The following is a 12,364-nucleotide window of genomic DNA, read 5'->3' as shown; positions in this document are numbered from 1 at the left end:
ACGCTCAGCTAATTTTTTGTATTTTTAGTAGAGATGGGGTTTCACCATGTTAGCCAGGCTGGTCTTGATCTCCTGACCTCGTGATCCACACACCTCGGCCTTCTGAAGTGCTGGGATTACAGGCATGAGCCATCACACCTGGCCCCTAAACACTTTTCTAGAGATGGCCTTGTCCAACTTCCCATGCTGGGAAGACAAAGCTTTGTTGACCAGGGCACTGAAACTAATTTGTACATAGCCCACATGTTACAAAAAACAAGATAAATCTTAAACTATAACATATTTAAGGGAAATATAACCCCCAAACTTAACTTCCTCTGTGTGTTACCTATGCTATAAAAATAGATTAAATTTCTTTACATGTGTATTCTGAGTTTTCTATATAAGGCATTATCCTCATATTTATTATGCTTACTTCTCAGCAACTATTTATTAGATAGTAAACCAGACATAAAAATGATAGAAAAATCAGTGTATATAACAGTTAAAAGATAAAAATTAAAAATATAATACCTCTATTGTACCATCAATATTCTTTTTCACACAACTTCCAGGGTACATTGTTCTCTGTGCATCAGATTCTGTAATTACCACCGAATCAACAGGTAAGCTGAATATAAATAAAAAAGGTTAAAGAATTAGAGTTGTATATGTGCTTTAGTGTTCATGCAAAATCTACACCACACATAAAATGTGTACTGGGGCATGGGAGACAAAAATGAGTCTAGGGTTATAGGTATTGCAAGTTAAATCATATTTTTGACTAATATTTCCACTTAAAAGAACACAATTGAATAACAGTATTTTACCAGGTGATCAACTGAATTTTATGTCATTTTACACTACAAATGTATGATATGGAACCATAAGTACCGACTGTTTTTTTGGAAAGATGGGGTCTCACTACGTTACATAGGTTGATCTCAAACTCCTGGCCTCAAGTGATCCTCCCGCCTCAGCCTCCAAATGTGCTGGGATTACAGGCATGAGCCACTGTGCTTGGCCAGTACTAACATTTTTTTTAAAGTTATCTAAGATATATTAATGACTTTAAAAAAGTTTGTAAAATCTCACTTTTATGAGAAACTTCTTTTAACATACATATGTATATTTGGATACAAAAAGTTTGATTATCTTCCTATGTATACACATCGAAAGTAACAATGTTTACCTCTAGTGGAACTCAGTCAGGAGCAGTGGTGGTAAAGAGAAGAATCTTAATTTACAAATATTCACTTTCGGACTTTTTTGTTTTATCTTTTGGTATTCACATCTGTATTGTGTAGTTTTTACATGATTAAAAATTTTTTTTTTCTTAAAACGCTTAACTTAGGTCATAAAAACTAAGGTAAGATCAGCATTTAGGATCCATGGGAAAAAAAAAAGGAGCAAATTATAATTTTCATTTCTGGCAAATATAATTTTCCATACCCATTTTCATGTGTAACTATGCTGCTTTCTTAGTTTGACCTTCCTCTTGTCCACATAACCTTCTTTCTCCTATTCTTTTCTACCCTAAATTCTGTCCAAAATTGGCCAAAGTTGTCATCATCCCATTTCATAACTTATATAACTAAACCCCTAATGATGGCCATTTGATTACTTCCAACTGTTCACTGTTACAAACAATGCTATAATACAGATCTCCACAAACATATCTTGGCACACTTCCATGGATGTTTCTACATAATAAAATCTTATAAGTAATTGTTAAGCTTAATATTTAATGTTTTAATACAGGGTCATATTCCAAAAAGTTTTATTAATTTTATTCTCATAATAGTATCATTTAAGTATTTTCTTAAAACTTCAGCAATCGGGGGTTATAACAATTGTAAAACTTTGCTAGAACATGTATGTCTTTATTTTTGAGAAGACATTTTCTTTCAAATGTTATTGGCCGTTTAGGTTTTTCCTGCTGTGAACTGCCTTCTCATGTTCTATGACCATCCCATGCTTCTAAAAACTCATTCCCTTGTCTTTCTTCTCTGCCCTTTCCTGCTTTTTCTTTATTACTATTTTGTCTCTGTTTTCCTCATTGTCCCTTGTATATACTGCTCTGATCCTTGGCTTTATGTCCTGGATCTTACTTTCACAGCCTAGAAAATCCTCCTGATTATCTATCCGGTCATTATGATCTAAACTCCAAAAAGTACTACTTAGTCCACAATGACTTCATTCTTTTTTTTTTTTTTTTTTTTTTTTTTTTAGTATTTATTGATCATTCTTGGGTGTTTCTCAGAGAGGGGGATGTGGCAGGGTCATAGGATAATAGTGGAGAGAAGGTCAGCAGATAAACACGTGAACAAAGGTCTCTGGTTTTCCTAGGCAGAGGACCCTGCGGCCTTCCGCAGTGTTTGTGTCCCTGGGTACTTGAGATTAGGGAGTGGTGATGACTCTTAACGAGCATGCTGTCTTCAAGCATCTGTTTAACAAAGCACATCTTGCACCACCCTTAATCCATTTAACCCTGAGTTGACACAGCACATGTTTCAGAGAGCACGGGGTTGGGGGTAAGGTTATAGATTAACAGCATCCCAAGGCAGAAGAATTTTTCTTAGTACAGAACAAAATGGAGTCTCCTATGTCTACTTCTTTCTACACAGACACAGTAACAATCTGATCTCTCTTTCTTTTCCCCATATTTCCCCCTTTTCTTTTCAACAAAACCGCCATCGTCATTATGGCCTGTTCTCAATGGTTGCTGTCTCTTCGGAGCTGTTGGGTACACCTGCAGAAAGGCTGTCACTTCACACTTGGAAGATTGCACAGCGGCCAGGCAGAGGCGCTCCTCACATCCCAGACGGGGCGGCCAGGCAGAGGCGCTCCTCACATCCCAGACGGGGCGGCCAGGCAGAGGCGCTCCTCACATCCCAGACGGGGCGGCCAGGCAGAGGCGCTCCTCACTTCCCAGACGGGGCAGCCGGGCAGAGGTGCTCCTCACCTCCCAGACGGTGCAGCCGGGCAGAGGCGTTCCTCACCTCCCAGACGAAGGGCGGCTGGGCAGAGGGGCTCCTCACCTCCCAGACGATGGGCGGCCGGGCAGAGGCTCTCCTCACTTCCCAGACAGGGCGGCCGGGCAGAGGCGCTCCTCACTTTCCAGACAGGGCGGCCGGGCAGAGGCGCTCCTCACATCCCAGACGAGGCGGCCGGGCAGAGGCGCTCCTCACTTCCTAGACGGGGTGGCGGCCGGGCAGAGGTGCTCCTCACATCCCAGACGGGGCGGCTGGGCAGAAGTGCTCCTCACTTCCCAGACGATGGGCAGCCGGGCAGAGGCGCTCACCTCCCAGACGCGGCAGCCGGGCAGAGGCACTCCTCACTTCCCAGACGGGGCAGCTGGGCAGAGGCGCTCCTCACTTCCTAGATGGGGCGGCCAGGCAGAGATGCTCCTCACTTCCTAGATGGGGTGGCAGCCGGGCAGAGAAGCTCCTCACCTCCCAGACGGGGCGGCCGGGCAGAGACGCTCCTCACATCCCAGACAGGGCAGCCGGGCAGAGGCGCTCCCCACATCCCAGACAATGGGCGGCCGGGCAGAGGCGCTCCCCACATCCCAGACAGGGCGGCCGGGCAGAGGCGCTCCCCACATCCCAGACGATGGGCGGCCAGGCAGAGATGCTCCTCACTTCCTAGACGGCGTGGCGGCCGGGCAGAGGCACTCCTCACTTCCCAGACGGGGCGGCCGGGCAGAGGGGCTCCTCACATCCCAGATGATGGGCGGCCAGGCAGAGATGCTCCTCACTTCCTAGACGGGGTGGTGGCCGGGCAGAGGCTGTAATCTCAGCACTTTGGGAGGCCAAGGCAGGCGGCTGGGAGGTGGAGGTTGTAGCGAGCTGAGATCACGCCACGCACTCCAGCCTGGGCAACATTGAGCACTGAGTGAGCGAGACTCCGTCTGCAATCCCAGCACCTCGGGAGGCCGAGGCGGGCAGATCACTCGAGGTCAGGAGCTGGAGACCAGCCCAGCCAACATGGCGAAACCCCATCTCCACCAAAAACACAAAAACCAGTCAGGCGTGGCGGCGCGTGACTGCAATCCCAGGCACTAGGCAGGCCGAGGCAGGAGAATCACGGGAGCCCGAGGCAGGGAGGTTGCAGCGAGCCGAGATCACGGCAGTACAGTCCAGCCTCGGCAACAGAGGGAGACCGTGGAAAGAGAGAGAAGAGAGAAGAGAGGGAGAGGGAGAGGGAGAGGGAGAGCGACTTCATTCTTTAAGCTTTACAGTATTTGAAAGTGTTTATTACTCCAAACTGAAAAAAACAGTCTGGCGTAAACTTAATTCATTGTTCCCCTCTTGCAATTAAGCTCCTACTATCTGCAACCCCTGTTGATTTTCCTATTTATATGATGTACCTTCATTTTCCATATTCCCTAGGCTCAAGCAACACAGAGTTATCTTTGTTTTTTCCCCTCTGCTTTGTTTCCAACATTCCTTCCATTGCAATGTCTAAATATTCATCCTTCATTTCCATTTTGCTGTTATTACTCTAATAGGCAGTATTACAGATGTGCAGTGAAAAACGCCACAAAGACATGGGTTTAAATTCCAGCATTTTAGTTATATCACTATGTTATATTCCCCAACCATTACCTTCGAAAAATTATTTTGCAAGTAATTATTATTTCAGTGATTACACTGAAGTCCCTGGAAGGAAACAGCCACTTTACATAAACATCTAATTCTACCTCCAGGGTATCTAGCTAAGGCTCTTCTCAGTTACTGTTTCATTTAATCCTCACAATCTTAAGGGTAATTATTATTATCCCTATTACTATTTAGAAATGTTTAAATAATCTGTCCAAGATCATATAGCCAGTAAAAGGTCAAATCAGGGTCAAATGCAGATCCGTCTGACTAAAACCCATGATCTTTCCAACCTTAGTGTTTCTCTTAGAGGTTTCTAGTATGAAATCACCAAATATTTGTTAAAAGAATGATTCAATTATTTTTCTTAACTATTTCAAGTCTACCCACAGGGAACAGTATACTCTATTCAAAATGTGTTACAGTCATGTCCAAAATATGTGATGCTATTTACACAAAATAATTTTGACTCATTACTATTAGTAAGAATGAGGACGGTGGTGAGTAAAACTCTTTTTGGTAGGGGTGCAGGGAGCAAACGAATGATTTTCATTCAAAGGCCTTGTCAACACATTTCCATGGAGTATTATAGAAACTCTGAGAGAGGGTGGTGAGCTTGCAGAAGCCCAAATGCAGGAATAACAATGTAAGCCTATGTTTCCAGAAGCCTCTCTTTTCTTCATGCTTTGGACAGAAAGCATCACTAATTAAAGGAAGACTGCTTGAAATACTGTTTATTAGAAAGTTCTTCCTAATTACCTATTTTGTTTCATATCAGAAAGCAGTGGTTTCCAAATGTCAATCTATGGGTTCCGTGCCTCTGAATTATATTGTTAAAAACACAAATTTCCAAGTTCCATCTCAAAGCTATTGAGTATGACTCTCCAAATTATAATTCAGTGATCTTTCATTGTAAGTAATTAAAAAAATTATATTAAAGTTCAAAAACCTCCACTATTTCTGATGTATGGTCATGTTTAGAAACCACCAATCTCAAAGAAAATGGAAGCTTTATAAGGCTAAAGCAAATAATTCCAAAGCCCATATGTAGGTTTCAAATAAAAAAGAGTAACGACTAGTTCCAAACAAGCAGACATTCAGTATTTCGTCCACTATACAAAAAAACTGTGTTGAGGTTTTACTAGCAAGTGTCTAGGAAGACATCCGCGCTACAATAGCAGAGCCAGCCACAGTTAGAAGAAATCTCTGAGGGTTTTATAGAGCTAGTTATATACTATAGCATACTTCCCAACTAAATTATAAACTGTTCATTCATTAAACAAATAATTTATTGAGTACCTATTATGTGCAGGGAATTATCTTAGGTGTTTGTGATATATCACTGACCTAAATGGAAAAAGAGCCCCACCCTTATAAAGCTTAAAGTCTTTCACCAGAGACGAACAATAAACAAAATAAAAATGAATCTACCCCCTCCAAATTTACACATATTTGGTTATATATATAATATATATATATATACACACACACATAATATATATATATTTTTTAGGCAGAGTCTTGCTCTGTCATCCAGGCTGGAGTGCAGTGGTGCAAATTCAGCTCACTGCAACCTCCGCTTCCTATGTTCAAGTGATTCTCGTGCCTCAGCCTCCTGAGTAGCTGGGATTACAGGTGCATGCCACCATGCCCGGCTAATTTTTATATTTTTAGTAGAGATGGAGGTTTGCCATATTGGCCAGGCTGGTCTCGAACTCCTAACCTCAGGTAATCTGCCTGCCTCAGCTTCCCAAAATGCTGGAATTACAGGCATGAGCCACCACGACCAGCCTAGTTATATATATGATATATATTATATAAAATGTGCATAATGTATACATACATATAAATAGACAATATTAAGTAATATAGAAAAAATAAAGTAGAGAAATAGGAATCAGCATTCTAGGAGACAATTTTAATTTACACAGAATGGTTAAGAAAAGCCTCACGAGAACATGACACTTGAGTAATGATCCAAAGAAGGTGAGGGTGTTGGCCAGGCATGTATCTGGAGGAAGACCATTCTAGGTAGAAGGAACAGCCAATGAGAAGTCCCTAAAGCAGAAGCATACTGATAATGCTTGTTTAAGGACCCCAAGATGCTGTCACCAGTATCTTGGGGTCAGAAGACAGTGACAGACAAGTCAGTAGGAGATTAAAAATCAGAAAAGTAATGGGTACTCATCATGTAGGACAGAAGAGCTTTGGAATGATACAATCTATTTTAAATTTTAAAAGCAAGATTCTGGCACCTGCTTTAACTGTGTTGAGAACAGACTTTAGGGGGGAGTTAGGGTAATCCAGTTGAGACAAAAGGATGGCAGAGACCAGCAAGGTTTTAAGGAGTGGTACAGTTTGGATATATTTTTGAAGGTGGAGAAAATAGGACGTCTTGATAGACTAGAAGAGAGGTATAAGAGAAAGAGGAGTAACGACAGATGGATATAGCTGCAGAAGGAGCAAATTTTGAGAAGAGCCAGAGTTCTACTTTGGACGTGGTGAATTTGAACATGAGACAACAAAGTGGAGGAAACCCTGCCATGACTGGAATGATCCTACCTTATATTCCTTAAGTATTCACCATATCAAAGTAGCAAAGACTAGGTACAGAATAAACTGCAAATATGTGCACACTGCCGATTTAATTAAGCAGATTAACAACAACCAACATCTTTATAATGTAAAAATTTAAGTAAAATTCCTATAATGTCTTTGGTTTACATCAACATTTTTTTCAGGCATTTCAAAGATATAGAATGATCTCTTGCTCTTCTTTCTAAAAAATGCTACATCCTATCTCTTTCCAGCAACTTTGCTTAAGTTACTTTTTTAAATAACCATTCTGGATGATACTATAATTGTTACAAAGCTACAAATACTGTTGAATGAAGCTATAAGCAGATGAATACCTTGGCGGAACCGTGGACTCACTAACAGCTTGAAGCCTCTTCTGTAAACAGTGGATCTCTGCCTCATAGTTTTGTTCAGTTTCTTTCAACTGTTGCTGCAAAGAGGATATGAGGCTTTCTAATTCTTGAACTTGTTCTTCAAGTTTAGTTTTTTCAAGATCTTGCAGAGAAGATAACTTGCTTTTATGATTGACATCTATGTTATATAAAGAGACAAAAAATGCACATTTCAATATAAGTTTCTTAGTGAAATAGCACAATCACTGTGTACAGAAAATATTAATTCTTTTTTGAAAAAGTATGTTTTTAGTGGTAATAACTCTGGTTTCAATTTAAACTCATTCTGATGAAAACAAGAAAACATAAATAGTACAATTCAAGATCATCTTTTTGATCCTCATGCTGTAGTACTCCTAAATCCAAAATTTTATATCTTTAAAATTTAAAACAATTCAGAATCACAGAACATAAGAAGGGGGAAAGGACCAAATAGAAAGTAGTCCAAATCTTTCATTTTAAGGATGAAAAAATTGAGATCAGAGAGGCTACAGTGAAATGCCAAAGGTCACTACGTTAGCTCACATTTTAAAGTAAAAAAGCAAATTACTCAATATTTGCTATAAAAACACCACATTGTGGTATATGATCAAAATTTACCAATGTCTTCCAAATTGGTCATCTGAGAATGGATTGATAAAAACTCTGTTTCCTCTTTTGGAAGGTTTTCTTCTCCAAATTCAAGTTTCATACCATCTGTCTGCTGTCCCCAGATCTATTGAAAACCACAGAATAAAAGCAGTAACATAAATACATAATCCAGCAATTAGAAAGCTGTATTAAAGCAACTCTGCATTTAAGATGCTTTTTTAAAACCACCCAAAATTGTGGCACTCTAATACAAGCATTTTCCCTTCTAAGTTATTCCCTGTTCTCTTCTGTAACAGTAATTAATATTCCATACCTTTCATAGCACTGAAATTATATTAGTAATGTTCTTTGATATCTGAAAGGAAGTTCATTTTACTACAAAAACAAGTGCTTCTGAGAATTTTGGTAGAAAGCTGATAACAATATTTATAGTATACCTTGGTCTTTGAAATTTCAATTCATACATAATAAATTTTATATTAGCAATACTTGATTAATACAGCTTGTTTATCTCTAGATATATCCTATGTACAACCAGGTAACTGACAAATGGTATGGTGCTCTGTACAGTAAACAAAAAGAAAAGAAAATAATGAAAATAGATAAATCTCAGCTTATTTCCTTAACTATTAAAAAGCAGCAAGCCTGTAATCCTAGCACTGTGGGAGGCTGAGATGGCTGGATCACCTAAGGTCAGGAGTTCAGGATCAGCCTGGCCAACATAGTGAAACCCCATCTCTACTAAAAATACAAAAATTAGCCAGGTGTGGTGGCACACACCTGTAATCCCAGTTACTTGAGGGGCTGAGGCGGGTGAATTTCTTGAACCTGGGAAGGGGAAGTTGCAGTGAGCCAAGATTGAGCCATTGCACTCTAGCCTGGGAGACAGAGCAAGACTCTGCCTCAAAAAAATAAGTAAATAAATAAATACATAAAACTAAGCAGCAATATGTCAGATACCTGTGTGTACTAATTTATTTATTCATCAAATACTTAATAATCAATGTGACCAGCACTGTGACAAGAGTAAAAATATAAAATCCGTTTAAAAAATAACAATATATCTGCCTGCACAGAATTCATCAATCAGATGGGAAAATAAACAATTAGAGAACGGCTAAACTATAAAATTTGACTATAACAACAATGATACAGAAGACTGATGTGGATCTGAGTAATTATGGAAGTCAGTTTTGATTTAGGCTCATATATTTCTGGTAATGATTTGGGAAGGCTATAAGGAAGAAAGAGTAAGAGTATTTGTGAAAGAATGACGTATGCCATAATTGACAATGATCTTCTTGAGGAGGGTTTAATTTGGATACGGAGGGGGAAATAAAGCTAGTTAAATAAGATAGATCCAAATAACAGAAGACTTTAAAAGCAAGGGGAAAGACTATGGACTTGCAAGACCAGATGAACAAAGGATACTGTAGAAGCAGCTGAGCAAAAGAAAAAACAGCTATTTGCTAAGAAGGCTGTTTTAACTGTTCACTACTCTTATACATCCTCTACCCAATTCCTACCCCATGAGTAATTTCAACAGAGGATCTTGCCTCTTAGTTCCCAGGGAAAATAAAGATCATCAGGTAAATTATTAAGTTTCCAGTCCAACCTTTCTAACTCATTCAGCAAACATTTATTAAGCCTTTACTGTATGCTAACACTGTGTTAAGAGAAGGAAATAAAAATAAACAGAAGATTCTCTTATTCTGAAGGGTTTAGAATAATAGTGAAAGAGGCAGAATGGTAAACAATTATATAACATGAAAAGTAATGTGATACAAATGCAAATGTGTATAAGGAGCTACAGGAACATGGAAGAAGGACAGAAGGGTAATCAAGTATTTAAAGTAACGAAAAAAGAGAAACGCGATAAGCAAGGCCTGTACTGTTGCTAAGGGAACAGAGGAAGAAATGCCTAAGCCTAGAAAGACAGGTAAAGAAGATGACACAGAGGGAGTAAACATTTGAACCAACTGGAACAAGCAGGAACAAACCAAAAAGGCTGGGAGGGGATGGGCAGTATTATGCAGAAAGGGCAGCATGCAAAGAAGCCCAGGGTGCCAAAGATCAGGGTGCATTTGGGAAACTAAGTATTTCAGTATGGCTGAAATGAGGAGGAATATTAGAAGATGAAGCCAAAAGGTTACACAGTGATGTATTGCAGTCCTGATCCTGATCCCAAAGTAACTCTGAAATGCCTCTGTAATTGCAGCTAATTTACTGCATTCAAATATATATCCTCTTATTACCCCTTGTGCAGAAAAGACATCTACCTGTTTGCTATATTCATCTACCTGTTAAGTAAACGTATTTATCTACATTTCTTTTCTATTTTTTTTTTTGAGATGGAGTCTCACTCTGTTGCCCAGGCTGGAGTGCAGTGGTGCAATCTTGGCTCACTGCAACCTCCACCTTCTGGGTTCAAGCAATTCTCTTGCATCAGCCTCCAGAGTAGCTGGGATTATAGGCCCGTGTCACCACACCCAGCTAATTTTTTTGTATTTTTTTTTAGTAGAGATGGGGTTTCACCATGTTGGCCAGGCTGGTCTCCAAATCCTGACCTCAGGTGATCGGCCCACCTTGGCCAACTAAAGTGCTGGGATTGCAGGTATGAGCCACCATGCCCGGCCTTACATTTCTCTTCTAAACACCTACTAAAATGTTGCCAAGGAAAACTATTTTATATATGCATATGTATATATTATATATATATATGTAAAATAGTATATATGTATATGACATTCCTTAAACTAGTTCATAAATCCCATTAATTTACACATTTCTTCAGTCTAGTGACTTCATTACTTTATTCTCAGTACACAGAACAACCTGGCATTTAATTAGCAAATAATAAATATTGGCTGACCAGTCTGTCCTCAGATCTAAGGAATAAATAAATAAATAAATAAATAAGTAGGTCGGGTGTGGTGGCTCATGCCTGTAATCCCAGCACTTAGGGAGGCCAAGGTGGGCGGATCACAAGGTCAAGAGTTCGAGACCAGCCTGGTCAACATGGTGAAAGCCCTTCTCTATTAAGAATACAAAAATTAGCCGGGTGTGGTGGAGTGTGCCTGTAATCCCAGCTACTCAGGAGGCTGAGGCAGGAGAATCGCTTGAACCTGGGAGGCAGAGGTTGCAGTGAGCCGAGATCACGCCACTGTACTCCAGCCTGGGCAACAGAGTAAGACTCTGTCTTGGAGAAAAAAAAAAAGGAAAGTAAAATAAAAATAAAAATTGTTGACTGTATAACTGAATGAGAACAAAGTATAAATTTTTCTTTCATATTCTTTGTACTCCCTTCAGTGTATATTTCAGTATGGTAGAAGACCAGGAGTGAAAAGAGAAGACTATCTAAGACAATCCCCAAGTTTCTGGTTGAATGTTGTTCCTTTGAAACTGATATGAGAGGAGAAGCTGGTTTAAGCAGCAGTAGTTAATAAATTCAAATTTCAATATGCTGATTGAGATATACCTAAAAGATTTTTGAGTAGAGATATCTGATGAGATATATGACTCTGCAGCTCAGAAGGACTGACCTAAACATAGAGATCTAGAAGCAATGAAAGTAGATGAAAAAAGCATTCAGATTACGAGGATCAAATAAAGATCCCTGGTAATATAAACAGGGTAGGTAAAGTCCAAAATGGAGGCTTGAAAAGCTACAGAAGCTAAGGGAAGAAAATGTTATCAGAAAGCAGCAAATACTACAGTCGAGAAATAATAAAGTAAAAAGAAAACTAGTTCAAGATAGTACACTGAGCATGTGTTTATATCTGAGGTTACAAAGTGAAGGCTTGAACTTTAAATCCAGTCTATAAAAGTGCTCTTTTGGGGACAAAACAGTTTTTGTTGTTGTCTGGCTGCTTTCTGTTTCCCAACCTTAAAACAGAACATTTAGTTTTGAATATTTCTCTGTGTGTGTGTGTGTGTGTGTGTGTGTGTGTGTGTGTGTGTGTGTGTTATATTTTTAGAAATGAGGTCTTGAGCTCTGTTGCCCAGGCAGGAGTACAGTGGCACAATCATAGCTCATGCAGCCTCAAACTCCTAGGTTCAAGTGATCCTCCCACCTCAGCTTCTCAAGTAGCTGGGACGACAGGCATGTACCACCATGCCTGGTTTATACTTCCTAATATTTTTAAAAGAAAAAAAAATCATATAAAATTAATAGATTAAAAGTACTAGCAACACTGGGCCCTGATTCCTACTTAATGGCAA

At 39.7% G+C, this 12,364-nt stretch overlaps 1 protein-coding gene across 2 annotated transcripts in view; it reads right to left on the bottom strand.

Moving 5' to 3' along the window:
* The window catches only part of AKAP9 (A-kinase anchoring protein 9), a 169,812-nt gene that overhangs the window by 80,169 nt on the left and 77,279 nt on the right, over window positions 1-12,364 (bottom strand). For both annotated transcript variants that reach the window (NM_005751.5, NM_147185.3), the window contains exons 13-15: window positions 8,153-8,267; window positions 7,496-7,691; window positions 514-610 (exon numbers count right to left, since the gene is read on the bottom strand). In NM_005751.5, coding sequence (NP_005742.4) covers window positions 514-610; window positions 7,496-7,691; window positions 8,153-8,267 — 408 coding nt within the window. The remainder of the gene's footprint in view (window positions 1-513; window positions 611-7,495; window positions 7,692-8,152; window positions 8,268-12,364) is intronic.

The sequence above is a fragment of the Homo sapiens genome, chromosome 7 (genome assembly GCF_000001405.40).
Source record: "Homo sapiens chromosome 7, GRCh38.p14 Primary Assembly".
Classification (NCBI taxonomy): domain Eukaryota; kingdom Metazoa; phylum Chordata; class Mammalia; order Primates; family Hominidae; genus Homo; species Homo sapiens.
The sequence above is the reverse complement of the archived record's forward strand: the minus strand, read 5'-3'. Positions and strand labels throughout refer to the sequence as shown.